We start from the raw sequence: 19,617 nt of genomic DNA on the forward strand, positions 1-19,617 counted from the left end.
ACACAGATTGTGGGATACCACCCCCAGGGATTTAGATTCAATCAGTCTAGAGTGGGCCTCAAGAATCTGCATCTCCAACAAGTTCTCGCGTGATGCTGATGATGCCGGCCCAGTGACCACAGCTGGAGAACTGCTGGTATACAGTTTTTGAAGCCATACCTGGGTGAACTTCTGCCTCATTATGCTTGTATAGGAGAGCACTGGTATTCCTCACCCAGGACCAGAGAAACAGAAGAATGACTCACGGCCATCATGTCTTTAATTTTTTTTTTTTTTTTTTTTTTTTTTTTGTTGAGATGGAGTCTCGCTCTGTCACCCAGGCTGGAGTGCAGTGGTGCAATCTCGGCTCACTGCAAGCTCCGCCTCCCCATTTCACGCCATTCTCCTCCGGAGTAGCTGGGACTACAGGCACCCACCACCACGCCCGGCTAATTTTTTGTATTTTTAGTAGAGACGGGGTTTCACCGAGTTAGCCAGGATGGTCTCGATCTCCTGACCTCGTGATCTGCCCGCCTCGGCCTCCCAAGGTGCTGGAATTACAGGCGTGAGCCACTGTGCCTGGCCATCATGTCTTTAATTCTAAGAGAAAACATATGTAGCAAGATAAGATTTTCATTATTCCTTAGCCACTTCTCTCTCTCCCTCTTCCACTCACCCTTGGAGTTCTTCAGTAAAACAGCATAAAAGAACACAGACTTTATCAGCATGGTAACCTACCAAAGGTATTCTCTGAGAGGCCATCAATAATAGCAAAAGCAAGGAGGATCTCATTTAGGGCTTCACTCTGAAAAACCAAAGATGTCCTCTTACGCTAATGCTTAAGATTGAGATAAGATGTAATGTGACTATTAGCATTCTTCACGGAATGGGACTCCATGAAGAGAAAGGAGAGGGGCAAAAAAGAAGAGAGAATCTTGAAGAGGAAGGGATATTAAGTAATTGTACGTGCTTAACATCCATTGTTTCCAGATCTTGTATAGGTAAGATCGCATGTCCTGGCCCACTTCCTGTTGGGTGGGATCAGGTGGCTAGTTCATGCCAACTAAGCCAAGAAGAAGTGATGGGCATTGCTTCCATGCTGGGGTAATTGATTGCCAGTGAGAGACCCTTCAGAGCTCTCTTTTTCTGTTAGCATGGTAGCTGGTGATGTTCATGACTATGGCAGCTAGATCAGCCTGGGGCAGAACACCTGCCAACCCACGATGCACACATGAAGTGAGTGAGAAACTAACATTTGCATATTTTAAACTCCTAGGTTTGAGGGAGTATTTGTTATGGCAGCATAGCTAGCCTATTCTAACTGATACAGGAGAAGAGAGAGAAGGAACATCCAGGTGTCTCTCCAAGGAGCATTATGAAGACACCAAAGTAAGACTGATTAGGAAAAGCAAATAAATCCTTTGTATCATGCCCTGGCCTCTGTGAGATTGATGACCTTCTTACAGTAAGACTCGTACGTCTCTTCCAGATTTTACAAGGGCATCTAAGGACATTTGGACCTGCACTTCCTGTCATTCTCCACTGCATCACTTAGCTTTAACCATGTTAAACGAAAGCTAAACCTTCAGAAGACAGATGCCCTCTGAAGTGTAACTTCAATAAGACATCCTGTAGCCAGATTCAAGGCTGAGATCCTGTGACTCCCGCCCCTCACTGAACCCCAGTTCTGGGTCCTAACAGAGCTTGCTCAGCAACATACTCTGTCTTCTGCAGGTTGGTGAAGGTGCCAAGGCTTTGTCGATGCTGTTCCTGCAATATTTCTCCCGCCACCTACTTACTGAGCATCCTTTGGAAGATGCCCAGGGCTGCAGCAGCCGGCATTCATGGCATTCCTGAAAGTATGTCCTGCCAGGCAGGAAAAAGGGGCAGCTTTGTGCTGCTGGGTTCTCAGCTCCCAGCACTGCACCAGCGACCAAGGGGCCTGGTTCAGACCATTGTCTTACTTGATGGACATAGAGGGCCCGAGTTCCAGCAGAAGCAGCTGGGATCCAAGCCTGGATGGCAGAGGGTGGGCTGGAGCTACCCTAACCCCCCCACCTCACCATCTGCCTCTCTGGGTTTCTATTGCTGTCTGATTTTTAAAAATAAGTTCAAATGGAAAACAAAGCAAACTTGTGAAAAACAATGTGAAGTGTTGAAATAATTTACATTTAGAGTCTGACCCAAAAAATGTATCTCCCGATCTTTTGCTCTATAGTCCTATCTTTTTCATCAAACTTTGTAAAGGAGAACAACAACAACAACAAATTATGGCGTGCCTTTAGTGCACTTGGGGTCACTCTAGGAGTCTCTGTTCGGTATCCTCGCACCCTCATAACATCATCTCCAAACCACTCCAGGTTGGAAACATACCCTGAAGCGTCCTGTGTGAACAGTAGCCACCCACCACCGCATTCCCCACATTAGTTATTTTCCCCTTCATGGTCTGCATCTCACCAAGACAGAAGCCAGAAACTTACTTTCCCATCCTCCTCTGCAGCAGGGGCATGGTCATGTGACTTAGGCTTAGCCAATCAGAAGCACCTTCATGGGATATGGATTCAGGAACGCCTCCAAGAAGTGGGCACAGCACAGGATTCATTTAGTAAAGGATGGCTATGTAAACAAACATCCAGCTTCCAGCGTAGACGTGGAGCTTCCAGAGCAGAGGCTGTGGGGGCAGTTAAGTCCCAGGCTCTGCCTGCCTTTCCCAAGGAAAATGACCAGGGTTTTAGGGTCATTTGGACATTGTGTCAGGCTGCAAAGTTTCCAGGCCTGGTTCTCTGGTTTTCGTTAATATTTTTACGTAAATTTCTTCTCTGTTTATACTCTCTAGAGTGAGTTCTGTTGTTTGCAGTTATGAATGTTGACTAATATGATAGTTAACACAGCACACCTGTTATCCGAAATGTATGTTCCCTCTTACGTAGCCGGCCTCATAACAAAGAGAAAGATATTTTCTCAAGGCTCTTCTATCCCCTCCCATCCTGGTGTGGTCCAGAGAAGCATCTGAATTAGGAGGCTTTAGAAACTTTATTCATGGCTGATGTGGTTTGGCTATGTCCCCACCCAAATCTCATCTTGAACTGTAGCTCTATAATTCCCACCTGTTATGGGAGGGACCCAGTACCCCCAGATAATCGAATCATGGGGGTGGTTTCCCCCATACTGTTCTCGTGGTAGTGAATAAGTCTCACAAGATTTGTTGGCTTTATAAGGGGAAACCCCTTTCACTTGATTCTCATTCTCTCTCTTGCCTGCCACCGTGTAAGATGTGCCTTTCACCTTCTGCCATGATGGTGAGACCTCCCCAGCCACATGGAACTGTGAGTCCATTCAACCTCTTTTTCTTTATACATTACTCAGTCTCGGGTATGTCTTTATCAGCAGCATGAGAACAGACTAATACAATGAGCAGACTAATTCCTTCATTCAAAAGATAGTCACTGAGCACCTGCTGTGTTTCAGGCAGGACATGATGATACCCAGGATGCTAAGTTGATCCTTTCAAAAATCCTTATTGGGCTTCTCCCTAAGTTCATGTTGTGGTGTAAAGAAATTGTGGGCACTCAATCCCTGAACACTGAACTTGACCACCTAAGATACAGAGCAGGGAGATATGGGCATCCCAAAGACAGACAACTGGATAAAACCTGCACTCATGTGGCTCATAGTGTGGTCAGGGAGACCGACTTTAACCAAAAAGCCACACACACTACTGCAAAGCTGCAGTTGTGACAGAGCGCTGAAGGAGAGAAAAACAAAGTAACAGGTGCCTACACATGGGAGATTTCACCCTATGCAGAAGGTAAAGAAAGACTCACTTGAGGATATGGCACTTGTGATGGAAACAAGGCTATGTAGTCATCAAACTTCCATTTTCCTCCTGGACACATAGGAAGACCACATTTCTCAACCTTCCTTACACATAGCTGGGCCCATGTGACTAAGTTTAGGCCAGTGGAGTAAAGGCAGAGTGAGGTAAGCCATTTATAGGCTTGGCCATCAAATATCCTTCATTCAGTCTTCCATAGCCACTCACCACCGCATTCCAATTTCTCTTTGAAATTGGCATCCTCCATTCCAAGATGACAGAGCTGTGCAATGGGAAGATCCTGGATCCTTGAGTGTTTGCTTCAAAGAGACACATCAGCCTTTAATAGTACCAAAAAGGCCAGGTGCGGTGGCTCACACCTGTAATCTCAGCATTTTGGGAGACCAAGGTGGCGGGATCACCTGAGGTCAGGAGTTCAAGACCAACCCGACCAACATGGAGAAACCCCATCTCTACTAAAAATACAAAAATTAGCCAGGCATGGTGGCATGTGCCTGTAATCCCAGCTACCTGGGAGGCTGAGGCAGGAGAATTGCTTGAACCCAGGAGGCAGAGGTTGTGGTGAGCTGAGATCATGTCATTACACTCCAGCCTGGGCAACAAGAGTGAAACTCCATCTCAAAAAAAAAAAAAAAAGTAGCAAAAAATAGACTAATTGTGTTAAGTCATTGAGCTTTCAAGGTCTATTTGTTACTGCAGCTTAGCTCATCCTACCCTAACTAATACACAGTTGAGCAGAGAGCTGAATAATGAATAGGACCTAAATATATGAGAGAGGAAGTGAAAGCATTCTAGCAGAGAGAATGGCCCAATGCAAAGGCTTTGTGGTGGGAGCGAGAAAAGCAAGAAGGAAAAATTGGGAAAGGCCAAGGAAGGTGAACAGAGTGAGAGATGGTGGATTCAAGATAAGGCTGCAGTGGTTGGCAGAGACAAGACTGTGCAGCCCACGTATTGGCCAAGCGAAGGCATAGCACCTGCAAGATTCATGCCTGTTCACATTCCCACTGCCCAGAGACTCTGGATGAGGTCCTGTCTGTTTTCAAGAAAGAGACCCTGGAGTTCTTCACTGTTAGCCTTCCTCGCTTTCAGATGCTGACAGCCTTGAGAAGACGCTGTACTTTTCCGTTCTACAGTAAGCTGCCCACATCAAAGCCCAAGAAGCCACAGGCATTTGGGGGAGTTGTGGGTCAGATATTTAATTATTCTAATCTAGAAGTCTATTTTCCCCACACTGCCAAGAACAGAAAGTTCATTTTGGAAAAAGAGGGTAGTTCCTTGGAAGGGCTGAATCTCATCTTTGATCTGCAGAGCTCTCAGACCCACCTCAAGATTTCCAAAGCCCAGAAACCCACAGACACTATCCCTCGCCCACAATAATGGACAAAACAAGAAGCCGCTAGTGCTTGTGGTAGAGGGAGGTGAGGGATGTCTTGGATGTATTTCATTTTTATTTATTTCTAAGAAAAACCACCTTTAAGATGGGAAGATGTGAGTGGACATACATTTCTAAACAACTTTGTTGATCTGATAAATTCAGATAAAGAAATTACTGTAAAAAGATTGCCTCATCTACAAAGCTCAGGACATTTTTTTCCCTTTTGCTGTTTTTTATCTTTGAGAAAGATAATGAAAGAGGAAGCTTGAAACCCCGTTTCCATTGATGTTCGAACACACAACTGCTGGGTTTAAGAACCAGAGGAGATCAAAGGGAATGGGGCCCATTCCAATAAAATTATAGCAGCGCTGGCAGAGGGTGTGGGCTCATTTAGGAACTTGGAGGCAAGGAGTTGTTGACGCACCTTCATCAGAGCTGAGGACAGAAAGAAAAATGCCTGAAATTCCAAGGGATTAATTAGGAGTATAGCTCATAATGTTACAGCAGCTGCACACACAGTTAGCTGATACGCTTCCCTCAGTGAACACTTCAAGCCCTGGATATCAGTACCGTTCGTAGGAAAAATGGATGGTGGTGACTCCCACTTCCAAAGGAGAGTTCTTCTGCCCTGAAAATGTAACTGGCCTAGGCCCAGTTACATTAAGTCTGGGGTGAGAGATTGGGAAAAACAAATAAATTTGGAAATATAGTGGCAAGAAAGGAACCAAAAACGTTTTGGGTTTATATTATATTAAAGTACCAACATTTTGGTATTTCATTAGCCCCATTTTACAGATGAGAAAACTGAGATTCAGAGAGGCTGAATAATTGTGTATAACTGTGCATAGCCACTTAGCCAGCTTTGACTGAATTCTTATTGCTTTCCACTTAAAATGAGTATTCCAGTGGTTTTCCAGCCCCCTTCACCCACCGGTGGGTGGGGCTGCCATACCCAATACCTGACTATCCAGTGTTTAGGCTGTTGGGGAGGTATGACAAATCAGGTGGGAATGTTTGGGAAAAACCCACCTGGGTAGTCCTTGCAAATGCTATCAACGACTACATAAATCTAGTGCTGCTATTAAGAACTGAGTCTCTGTATTAAATAGTAGAGATGTGAACATTCCACACTGCTGTCCTAATCCTATACTCCTTAGTCCATGCCAATTTAAAGGGCACAGGAAGTTGAAAAGCCTAGCCAACCATTTTTATCCTAAACCAGTCATTGCAAATGAAAATATGCACTCAGGGATGCAACTTCTGACAATCAGTTGAAGTAGATTCCACAGAAACCAAATGACATTAGTATTAGCTTAATTCAAGTGTAATCAGGAAGGTGAATTAATTTCAAAAAGAGGGCCAGGCACAGTGGCTCATGCATGTAATCCCAGCTCTTTGGGAAGCCAAGGTGGGAGGATCATTTGAGGCCAGGAATTTGAGACCAATCTGGGCAATATAGCAACATCCCACCTTTACAATTTTTTTTTTAAATAGCCAGGCATGGTGGTGCACAACTGTAGTCCCAGCTACTTGGGAGGCTGAGGCGGGAGGATCGTTTGAGCCCAGGAGTTCGAGGCTGCAATGAGCTATGATCACGCCAGTGCACTCTAACCTGGGTGACAGCACAAGACCCTGTCTCAAATATACATATATATACATATACATACATATACATATACATACTAAAAACATATTTTAAAGCATAACATCCCTGCTTCTTCACCACCTCTTTAATGGAAATAATAATATTATTAACAACTAGAATTTGCTTAGCTACAAAGGGTACTGTGTGTATAATATGCCATTTAAATCTTCTAACAACCTATTGAATAAAGTAATTTACTATCCCCATTTTAAAGATGAGGAAACTGAGACTTGGAGGGACTAAATCATTGTATATCAATGTGCCTAATCAGACAGTGAGTGGGAGGGCCAAGATTTGAATCCCAGTCTATCTGACCACTTTCCTGCCTCTAATACTCGTCAATGCTCTCAGCTGGCTCCCCACCCTGCCTCTCAAGAGGAAGTTCATCAGGTTTCCAGCAATAGAGATTGTAATGATCAAATCAGCAGAGAGGGGGGCAGAATTGACAGATGATTCTAGAGCAGATGATCCCATTTAGCCCTTGAAAATGAAACTTCTCTGAAGAAAAGTAGCCACCCCACCCCCATACTTTAGTTGGTCAACCTACAGTAGAATGAACTACTGAGGAAAGCAGCATTTCTAACTTAGCAGCAAATAACAGTCCAAATTTTAAACAAAACGAGGCGAGGCACAGTGGCTTATGCCTTGTAATCCCAGCACTTTGGGAGGCCGAGGCAGGCAGATCATTTGAGGTCAGGAGTTCGAGACCAGCCTGGCCAACATGGTGAAACACCTTCTCTATGAAAATACAAAAATTAGCTGGGCGTGATGGCACACACATACAATCACAGCTACTCGTGAGGCTGAGGCAGCAGAATTGCTTGAACCCGAGAGGCAGAGGTTGCAGTGAGCCGAGATCGTGCCACTGCACTCCAGCCTGGGCAACAGAGTGAGACTTTGTCTCAAACAACAACAACAACAACAAAAAGTTTACCCTCCCAGGGTGTACTGGCTTCTTTGCATCTTGGAAAAGCATTCACAGTAAAACATATTGGGATTTAATGTTACCCAATAATAATGATAGGCTAAGATAATGTAGTTACCATGTATCGTGCTCTTGCTAAAAGGCAGGCACAGTGATAGGCATTTGAAATATCTCATGCTGTCTATCTAACTCACAACAATTCCATAGGTAAGTACTTCCTTTCATCTCATTTTTCAGATAAGGAAACAAAGCATCCAAGATGTGAAATAATTTGCCAATTTCATACAGCTACTAAGCGGTAGAGTTGGGATTTGAACCTGCATTGTTCCAAAACGTTTCCTCTCTCCAACTACAGCTGCAGTTCCTGTTATGACCTGCTTCTATCCCAATCAGTTTCTCCTGCCCCGTTTCGAGCAAGGCACCACAATCCGGACTTCCTACCCAGAAACCTGAGAGTCTTGTCTTGTCTTCACATTTGGTAGCGCCCACATCTAATCAGTCAACGTATACTATCGACTCTAATTCCATTATCAGTCAAAAGTGTCCCCTCCTGTTTGGATCCTTTACCAGCAGACTACAGGAATGGAAAGAAATCACCACCACCATGAGGGCGTTAGGAATGATAAAAGAGCATTTATGGTCAGGCATGGTGGCTCACGCCTGTAGTCTCAGCACTTTGGGAGGCTGAGGCAGGTGGATCACTTGAGGTCAGGAGTTCGAGACCAACCTGGCCAACGTGGTGAAACCCCATCTCTACTAAAAATAAAAAATTAGTCAGTGTGGTGGCACGTCCCTGTAGTCCCAGCTACTCAGGAGGCTGAGGCAGGAGAATCACTTGAACCCAGGAGGTGGAGGCTGCGGTGAGCCAAGATCACGCCACTGCACTCCAGCCTGGGCAACAAGAGAGAAACTCCATCTCAAAAAAAAAAAAAAAAAGAGCATTTGTATGTGAAAACCACTTGAAACATAACTACAGGTTTAACTTTCCCCATTACAGGCAGGAGGGGAAAAAAAAACACAATAAATTATATTTTGAAATTTTTAAGTCTTACTCCTACTCTCATTGAAAAATACCCCCACATCTCTTGTGGCTATGAAAATTGATACAACCTTTTTGAAAAATAATTTGGCCATATATATCAAGAGCCATAAAAATGTTCATCCCCTTTGACCCGGTAATCCCACTCCCAGGAATTTATCCGAGGGAAATCATTCAAAATAAGAAGAAGAAAAAAGAGCTAGTTGTGTACAGATGTTGGTTACCTCTTTGTAATCGTAAGAATCTAAAAGCAAAATAAATGTAGAATTATAGTGGAATAGTGGAGCCAATTTCAGTGTAGTTAACTCAATGGTATATTAGGCAGTTGCAAAAATAATAAATATGGGCACTAGGTAGAACCTAGGAAAAATACACAGGAAATAATGCCGAATGAAATATATATGTTCTGTAATTATAACTACATAAAAACATATATTTTTACAGATGAAACATGAAAGGGGTCATGGAGGAATGTAAACAATGCATATGATTGATTAGCGGGATTACAGACACGGCTTCTTTGATGCTTTAGAGTTGGATGAAAATGTTATAAAGCCTTTTGGAAGCTCCCTAATGAAGGGAGTGGTGGTGACCATGAGAAGCGACCCCAGCCCCAGACCTGGGGAGGGAAGGGGCTTCCTGCTGCTTTCTGTGCCACGTGTAGGGAGGTTGGCCAGCCCCGCAGACAAGACCATGACTGCTCTACGGTAGGCACAGCCGGCAGAACCCTCAGAGGCTTTTCCCGTCTTGGGCTGGGATGTTGGTTTAGCAGAGTAGCGACAGAATCAACTCCTTGTCTCCCTGGCTTCTGGGTCTGTGAGAGCAACCTGAGGCTCTCATTTTACCAAGGTCGGGGACTGGATACGGACCCTCCCCTTAGGATAAAGCCTGTCCAAGTTCCAAACAGCAAGCAGAAGCGCGGTCAGGCCTCCCAGCCAAGGTGAGGAACCCCAGATAAGGATCCCGGTGAGGGCCAGTGGAAGATCAGAGAGATGCGGCAAAGCTCCCACAGAAAGGATTCAAACCCCAAAAAGCCTTGAGCCTGGCCTCACTGCCCACTGCCCCATCAGGGGGTGATCGAGCGGCAGTGCCAACCTAGTGCCCAGCCAATCTGCTCCTCAGCTGAGCCCACTCAGCCGTCCCACACGGCAGGGCCCTCTTCCCTCTTGCATGCCTCTCCCTCCATTTTATCCTCCTCTTTTCAGCCCTCCTTGACCCCAGACCTGTGAATGACACACACTTAAGGACACAGCATAGTCCCTCAGTGGGACCCAATGCTGAGTGATGAGTGACTCATTAGGAGCAGTCCTTGCAGATGCAGTGTTACATTCATCCATCATGTCCCTGCTGAGCAATTCCAGATCTGGCCATTTGCTGGAGGCATGGTCGAGGCTCTCCCCAGCGCCATCCTGTGAGTAAACACCCCTTCGTCACAAACAGGATGCGTGCCGACACTGGCTTTCATCTGGCTGCACACAGAAGGGATGGAGAATCCAGGCTTTGGCTGATCAAAACAGTGGGCAGGAAGCCAGCAGGGGTCCATTGTCCCTCTCTGCCACCCTGGACTTTGCTCCCACACAGCTGCCTTTGGATTTTTAAACAGCATTTGTTCAGGAGACAGTGTTTTTGCCAAGGCTGGCACTGGACTCAAAGGAGTTGGAAAGTGGGTAGCTCAGAATCACCATGATTCCTCTTAGCTCTTCCCTCTCTTGGCACGTGTCCTCTGCGTCCACAAGAAGATGGACAGGTCCCACTTACCGAGAAACTTGTGGAGAAGAGGCCAGAATTAATTAACGAGAAGATGTTGTTATAAACATTTGCTTAAGAAATGCACTCATTACTTTCACGCCCAAAGATAAATTAAATCAGGCAAATCCAGGAGAGACTAGGAAAGAAACTGCTTCAAGGATATCAGAAAAATGAGGCGTTTCTGCCTATCGTTTATAGATCGGTAGGTCCACCTAAGTTCTCAAGGGCATTTAAAAAATGAAAAGCACTTTGTTTGTTTGTTTGTTTTGAGACGGAGTCTCACTCTGTCACCCAGGCTGGAATGCAGTGGCATGATCTCAGCTCACTGCAACCTCCACCTCCCGGGCTCAAGTGATTCTCCTGCCTCTGCCTCCCAAGTAGCTGGGACTGCAGGTGTGTGCCACCACACTGGGCTAATTTTTGTATTTTTTTGTAGAGATGGGGTTTTACCATGTTGGCCAGGCTGGTCTTGAACTCCTGACCTCAGGTGATCCGCCCGCCTTGGCCTCCCAAACTGCAGGGATTACAGGTGTGAGCCAACACGCCCAGCCCCAAAAAGCACTTTTACATATTCCATTTGAACTCTTCTTATACTTTGCAGCATTTGGTGGTGGTGGTTTTTGTTAATTTAAGGCAGCATTTCTCAACCTGGGCACAATTGACATTAGAGGCTGGATCATTCTTTGTTGTGAGGGACAGTCCTGTGCTGTCAGGAATGTTTAGCAATATCCCTGGCCTCCCCTCACCTGATCATGTTAACACCCCCTCGGTTGTGATGAGCAAGTATGTCTCTAGACGTTCCCAAATGTCCCCTGGGCAATAAAACTGCCCCCTCCTCCTTTGAGAACCATTGATTTAGGAGGAAGAAGAAGTTAAGGAGGAGAAAGTTTGCTAATTCAAAGTAAAATTCAACCTAGCTCCTGCATAAGATCATCACTTCTTTATAAAGAGACAGATTTTTATGAATGGGATATTGTGGTGCTTTATATTGGAGTTTGACTAGAAAGGCAAAGTTTCTAATGCTGTAATCTCCAGAGGAAAAGCATTCACTGGAAAAGGCAAAGCTGTTAACGTTGGTTGTATAGGCACATCTGAAATGTCCCTGCTTTTTAAATGACCCCTGTTTGGGCAGGTTTGCTTACAAACTTACACAGCAGACAAAGTAAGGACATTTCTTTTACGAAAAAAGATTCATCTTATGGCTCCTTGAAATGAGCCCCCTTAGAACTTTTCTAGTTCTTAGTGTTGGGTGTTATTAACTTGACAGACTGTCTAGGCTGCAGAGAAGCTGCGAATATTAATAGAAATGAAGAAAGCATTTATAAAATTCTTATTCACATCAATTTTGTGTAAAGTGATATCTCTCTAATGGTTTTACCCCTGCCTTTTTCAGCTAACATCTATTGGCCAAACTGGGGTTCAAAACAAAGGATCAGGTCTCTGAAAGTATTGCTCATTTTACAGGGATTCACCCTTTGAACACTGTCTGGGCCTAACCTAGACACTCGGTAGTAATGACAAAAGAGTAAAGTATTAGTTACCCATGTTCAAGGTGCACGTGATCTGTTTGGAGAAGCAGAACATGCACTTTTTAACCAACTATGGAAAACGAGTCAGACAACAAGTGAACTCTCCTTTTATGGTTGGCACTGAGAAGAACATTCTTCCAAACAGGTGAAGTAAATCAAAGTAGACTTCCTGGAAAAGGGGGCTTTGAGTCAGGCATGGATCAGCAGAGAGTCTCTGCATACCCCTGCTGGATCCCAGGGAACACTGCTGATCACCAGAGCCTGAATAAGCAGTAACTTCAACCTTCTCACTTTTTCCTCCCCTCTTTCCTGTGCCTGGCAGATCCTTTTCTGGGGGTTGCAGTGGGTATAGCCGTCTCCTAATCATGTGATCGCATCCTCCTGGCCACAGTTGGTTGGTTCAGGGGGTGGGCATCTGACCCAACCTGAAACCATGCAAATTCCCTCCTCTGGGAATTTGGAAAATGAACTACAAGCTTACATTTCCTGTGACTCCAAGTCACATCCTGTTTATCTAGCAAACACATATAATGCTTACTATGTACCAGGCACTGTCCTAAGTGGTTCATAAATACAAATTCATTGAATCCTCATAAAAGTTTTATGAAGTAGATACTATCATTGTCCCTCATTTTACAGATGGGCACACAGAGGTACAGAGAAGTTAAGTAACTTGCCCAAAGACACACAGCTGGTAAGGGGCAGAGCTACTAACCATGTTGCTTGGGGAATTAAAAATAAGCACAGGCCAGGAGCAGTGGCTCATGCCTGTAATCCCAGCACTTTAGGAAGCCGTGGCGTGTGGATCATCTAAGGTCAGAAGTTTGAGACCAGCCTGGTCAACATAGTGAAACCTTGTCTCTACTAAAAATACAAAAATTAGTTGGGCGTGGTGGCGGGCACCTGTAATCCCAGCTACTCAAGAGGCTGAGGCAGGAGAATCACTTGAACCTGGGAGGTGGAAGTTGCAGTGAGTCAAGATCGCACCACTACACTCCAGCCTGGGCAATAGAGAGAGACTTCTTCTCAAAATAAAATAAAATAAAATATCAGCACATCCAAAGCTGGAATCGGGCTTCTCGTCCCATTTCTGTCACTTTCGATTTGCCCTCGCGTAAATTGCTTAGCTTTGCTGCGCCCAGTTTCCTCAGCTGTAAAAGACAAGGGTGGATTACATCAGTGTTTTCCAAAGTGTGGTGTGGTGTAGATACTGGTGGGATGAGAGATTATAATTTTTTTTCATAGCTATATATTTATCTTCATGTATATTAGAAAGGACACATAATAGATGATAGATGGATGGGTAGATAGATAGATAGATAGATAGATTTTACATACATATAGATATCCCCAAACCTGTGGTATCACAAATAGTATTGCTTGAGATGAAACCAGAGTGGGTAGTAACATCATAGTTTAGAAGTGAGTTCAGGAAACAGTATCGTACAATGGGAAACGTGGCCCTTGACGTTCACATGTACCTGCACTGCCTGAGTCAACATGGTTTCAGTGGGGATGACTCCATTCCTGCACGCCAAGGTGCATTTATGACCCAAGCCGGCCACAGTGATTGTCCTGGGGAAGGACACGTGATTCAAGAGGACAAGTGAGGCCCCCTGGGGACTTTTGCTGGGCCAATCAGGAAAGCCTGGTGCTGCCAAGGGCATCTGCCACCACCCAGAGAGGACAGAGGCAAGGCAGAGACACCTTTAAAGGCTGGAAGAGGGAGAGGAGGGCCTGTGAACATGCCATCTAACCTCAGAGCCAGTGGAGCTGGCATTACATACCCCCGGGGTTTTCCCTTACCTAAGGCAACACAGTTTTCTCTGTGCTTTCCACTGACTCTAGTTTGAATTTGTTTTTTGTCCCTTGCTAATAGTTTTGATGAACACAGGTAGGCAATGCAGTCTTAGGATTTAGTGAAGAATTGCTACTTTCTAGTACCAGGTGGTGACACCCAGTTTAAAAAGCCACAATGACTTCAGTGGAGAGAAAGGACAGACATCACAGCTTCCATGCTGAAAGTGATGACTCTGTCTCAGGCAGCATGGGGGAGAGAAGAGAGGCCAATTTTGGCAATGACTATCCTCAGCCTCGGTTTCCTCCTCTGCAGAGTGGGAATAACAATATCTCCTATGAATGGACATCCTAGGGCCAAATGGCATAACAGAAGCAAGCTATCTAATGAAGTTTCTTAAGTCCACAAAAGGTAGCTATTACTATGTTGTGCCAGGAGTTTTATATAAAGTATTGTACCAAATTCCATGTGATCCTCACCACAATCCTATACTTTAAAATCACCAGCTTTACTCCAGAGAAACTGGGATTCAAAGAGGTTGGGTGACTTGCTGTCAAGCAAACAGCCAATAAAGAACAGAGCTGTCCTTCAAGCCAGCTCTAGCAGACACCACCCAAGGCTGGGTGATGGTGAATATCCCAAGGTTTTGGAAGCAAGACTCCAAGGAGCCAGTCATCAGGGGCAAAGGAATGTGAAAGCCACTGGTGGGGGCAAGTGAACCAGACAAGATAGCAGAGGAAATTCCCCGAGAGCTCTCCTTACTTCCTGCCCACTTTGGAAAGTTCCTTGGAAAATCCTGGGGCTCAGATTTGGAGGAAAGTCAGCTTTGTGGAACAAAGGCATAAAATAATCCAGCAAAGCACCCAGCCCCGATGCATCAGGAGGAACTAACATTAATACACGGCCACAGATCCCAGATGTTGTTATGGTTGGATTACACGGACTTGGAAAGTTCAGGCATGAGATGCCTGAATGATAACAATAGAAAACAGATCAAAAGCCCAAAGAAAGAAATCAAGAGAAATGAAAAACAGAAGGAACTGCAGGGGAAGATGAAAGAGGAGAATTATAATTTGACACTGAAGGGGAGCCAGTGTTTAAGGTTTTTCTGGAAGTTGACCCACAGCCAGATGAGAATTTTGTAGCATTATTGGCAGTATGAAGTTACAATCCTTGAGCTCTTTTGTAGACTTTGGGGACCTCAGGGTTAAAAGACTTCCCTGAGAATCTCCTAAATCCACCTCTTCCTTTAAATCATCCTGGAGGTGTTCAGTGCCTGAATCTTCATAGACCTTGTCATATTCAGCTCGTCCATCAATACCAGGGAGAGCAGCAAGGTATAGGAGGAATTGAAGCTAAGGTTGTACAATCCCCCCGGCCACAATCCCATAAGAGTCTCTTTGCTCCAAATGTCAGAAAACTCCCAGTTTCTCGGTTCAGGTAATAGAGAACCTAATTTACACTGACAAACAAAAAAGGAAATGAATTGACTCAGAAAACCGAACAGTTGAGAGAGGTCTAACTAGCTTCAGGTATGGTTTGATCCAGGAGTTCAAAAGATGTCACAGGGCTCAGTATCTCCATTTCACTCCATATTTGCTTTTGTCTCAAGCTCCACGTGGTGACAAAATGGCAAATTTCATATTTGTATTCTCCCATGTTTGAGTCCAACAGAAAGAGAATATGCCTTTCTCCCAAAAGTCTAAGCACTAGGCTCATCAAGACCCGTTGGCTCTAATAGGGTCTTATGCCCATCCCAGTGGCTAGAGGAATATGATGCTCTGATTGGCCAGGCCTGTACCTAGAACTAGTAGCAAAGTCAACTCCATCCCCAGCCTGAGAACGGAGAGTGGAAGACAAGTGTTTCCCCGAGAAAAAGTGAATTGCATCATTAGGAGTTGGTAAATGAATGCTGGGAATCAAAAAATAATGGGTGTCTACTATTTCCCATCCCACCTCTGTCTCCTGCATGTGACTCTCTTTTGCAATTTTCTCTCCTCACAAGAAAATAAGAAGTAACAGCATTATCATCTGGTCCTGAAATATCAATGGCATATACAATTTCTCCTTGTCAATTAAAAATCTAAAGCCCAAGTCATTTTACATTTGCTTTTCCAAAATGTATTAAATTGGATGCCTTTAAGTCTTTATGTACAGTACATAAATAAACAAATAAAAATATACCAGCAGCGGCAGGGCACAGTGGCTCATGCCTGTAATCCCAGCACTTTGGGAGGCCGAGGCAGGCAGATCCCTGGAGTTCAGGAGTTTGAGACCAGCCTGGGCAACATGGTGAAATCCTATCTTTACAAAAAATTTTAAAAATTAGCTGGGTGTGGTGGCATGCACCTGTAGTCCCAGCCACTTGGGAGGCTGAGATGGGAGGATTGATTGAGCCCGGGAGGTCGAGGCTGCAGTGAGCCATGATCACCACTCACTGCACTCAAGCCTGGGATATATATCATCCACATAAGAACCACTCGTTGACATCTGCTTTTGACCATGCAGTGTCTTAAGCACTAGGGGATACAAAAGGGATACAAGAACCCAGTTCCTGTTGCTGAGAAGCCCACACTCTAATAAGGTTTAGGGGAACATTGGCCTTAACGGCAAAATATCAACCTGAAGTTTCTCATTACACTTTTTCAGTTTTTTAATTAAGTCTCTCAGAAAGAGACCTGTCCTGGCACCCTTCCATCCCTCAAATTTTAACCAATGGCTTGACAGTTAATAACATATTTTTACATTTATTTTTGTATCTGAGACTCCCAATATCTCTAGGAGGGTTGATTCTATTTTTAATTGGCATTTTATGGATAAAGGAGAGAAAAGTTCAGACAGGTTGAGTGACTTGCATGGAGTCACACAACTAAAAAGTGATTATACCCAAACTTGACATCCGCTCCCTCATTCCTACCCCTAGTCATGTGAAACTACCTGAAGTCAAAAACATTGTCACTAACGCTGGATACAGAGGAAGCCAGAGGTCCACCAAGAGGCTGTCCCAAGACAGAAGAGCTCAGAAGCCATCTGAGGTCCATGCTGTTATTTTGCATTCTGTACTACTCAAGTCACATGGATAAAAACACAAGCTTTCCTCCATCATTCTCAGCAAGCTAACACGGAAACAGAAAACCAAACACTGCATGTTCTCACTCATAAGTGGGAGGAGAACAATGAGAAGACACGGACACAGGGAGGGGAACATCACACAATGGGGCCTGTCAGAGGGTTGGGGGCAAAGGGAGGGAGAGCATTAGGACAAACGCCTAATGCATACAGGGCTTAAAACCTAGATGACGGGTTGACAGGTGCAGCAAACCACCATGGCACATGTATACCTATGTAACAAACCTGCACATTCTGCACATGTATCCAAGAACTTAAGATAAAATTTAAAAAAAAACTGTAAACCTTCCTAAAATGGAACAAGGAAACAACAGCCTTTATTTCTTTGTTTGGTTGGCCTGTCTACTGGATGCCAGGCTCTGGGCCAAGCCCTGGGATTACCCAGACGCAATGAGTCCCTGTCCTCCAGGAATACACGTTCTTGGGAAGTGGAAGAGAAGGACTCTTGACAAAGCCATGTGATGAAGGCAATGGTTAAGAAGTGCCCAGGCAGCTCAGGGAGCTGGGAGGAATATACCTGCTCAGACTGGGAAGGCTGCAGGAAGAGGGAGAAGGTGGGAGTCTGTCAGGTAGCAGGGTTGGACATGGGAAAGAAGGTCCGTGTGAACTGAAGTGAAGAGTAGGAACAGGGGTCAGGGAGATGAGGCTGGTGATTCTGGCAAAGCTTAAATGGGCACAAAGGAGATGGCCTGACTGACCCTTGAAGGCCATCGGCAGCTCCAAAGAGGACAGAGGCTTTTATTGTTTTGGGTTCCTTCCAGATGCAGTGCAGTAGGTGGGTTGGACATGGGCACGTGTGCAGGTGGAGAGAGCTGTTAGGAAGCTGTCAAAGTTATCCAGGTGAGAACTAATGGCCACCGAAGCTAAGCAGTGCTGGGGCCATGGGGAGAAATACTCAGGTTGGAGAAGGATTCCAGGGCAAGTTCAGACAAGGCCAGGAGGGCTGCTATGGGGGAGCAGGAGAGTGGAGATTCAGATGTGGCAACCAGGGTCCCAGCACAAGTGGCGCTTTTGTGAGAGGGGTGGAGGGCAAGAGAGAGGAAGATATGAGATATTTTATGATGTTTTGAGATTGTGGTGCCCACAGGAAAGAAACGGGACAAGTCCAGTGCGCTGTGGAATACAGAGGAGTGGGGCTTCCAACCTGGGCTGGAAAGACAGCTGGGAGTCATCCCAGGATGTCCACAGCCACGAATGTGAGTGGTGACTAGAGCACTAGATTGAATGTATCACTCAGGGGAGAGTTTACAGAACAAGAAACAGGCCAAGTATAAAGTCCCAGGAGACAAATAAAGGGGTATGAAGAAAACCTGGAGAGAGGGGTGACCTAGGAGCCCAAGAAGGGAAAGCTTCTTAAGGAGAGGGTAATAGTCAAAGCCTGCGGGAAAATTGGTCAGATAAGGACTAAACAGTGCTTACTGGATTTTGCAATAAAGAAGTCCCTAGCTTTGCTGGCAAGCATGTCAGGGAAATGGTGGGACTGGCAGCCAGCACGCAGTTGATGGATAGGAAGATGGTAGGTGATGACATGGCCTTGTGGCTGAGGACAACTCTTTCAGGAAGCTTGGCAGGGAAGGGACGGAGAGAGATAGGGCCACAGGATGGAGAGAGGGTTTAAGGCTTAGAGGTTTAGGCTGTTGTCATTTTAAGAGAGTGAAAGGCTTGGACATGTTTATAGGATGCCTAAGGACCCTCAGCAGGTGGGAAGAGGATTGATTCTGAGTTTAGAAGGCAGGATGCACCTCCTCTTCTGAGGCTGGAGGAAGGAAGAGAAGGGAGCATCAAGATTTAGATAAATGTGGCCGTGTGAAGACAAGATGTCGAGAGAGGTCAGCCTGATAAGCTGGATTTTCTCAAAGAATTAGGGGGCAGAAGTGTTTGCCAAAAGTGAGGGGACAAGCATGGGGTGACCAGGCTAGCTCTGAGACAGTGGTAAAGATTCTGAGCAGCACCAGAGGGGAACAAGAGAGGCAGCTGAGCAGTGCCAGAACCATGGAGCTTAAAGGCTCTGAGGTTCCTAGTGGACCAGAGCAGCCCAGTTGTATGGTTTTCCAATCTTTTGATCTGGAATTCATGGCAAGATCAGTAGGGACTGGGCCGAAATATCTTGCTTATGAAGAAAGAATGAGCTAAACCAATAAAGACAATAAAATTAAATTAAAGAGAAATGTTTAATCTACTCGAGGGAACAAACTTTTCAGCATTTTGGCAGGACCTGTCTACAGTCCAAGTGATAGGATTATATAAAAAGACACTCATCCATTCATTGAGGTAGGTCTGCAGAATTTCTACTTGACAACACCTCTTAACCTGGATTGCTTTACTAAATGCTTTTGGAAGTAAAATCTTCCCAAATGTACCCTAATTTATACTTTTCAATAATTCAGATGGGGCAATGGGAATTACTAAAAATGCCTATCTTAAAATTTAATAGAATTTTACATTTTAACAAATTAATGCTAAGAACTGAAATACCAGCATACTGGAAAGTTAAAGTCACGTAAGGTATGCAGGCAGCACTCTGGATATGTGCTTTAGACTCGGAGCAACAGTCAACGTACCCCTCAACCCAAAACAGAGTCACTACAGGGAAGGACTAGGGAGGGTGAGCAAA

The 19,617-nt window shown here is 45.0% G+C and overlaps 1 annotated feature.

The window, feature by feature from the left end:
• Positions 9,675-10,175: an enhancer, noted in NCBI's record as "H3K4me1 hESC enhancer chr17:63434615-63435115 (GRCh37/hg19 assembly coordinates)". NCBI's record gives its function as "activates a minimal SCP1, AML or CMV promoter by ChIP-STARR-seq in primed H9 embryonic stem cells {active_cell/tissue: H9 hESC(primed)}" and the evidence as "EXISTENCE:reporter gene assay evidence [ECO:0000049][PMID:30033119]".

Source organism: Homo sapiens, chromosome 17 (assembly GCF_000001405.40).
Source record: "Homo sapiens chromosome 17, GRCh38.p14 Primary Assembly".
NCBI lineage: Eukaryota > Metazoa > Chordata > Mammalia > Primates > Hominidae > Homo > Homo sapiens.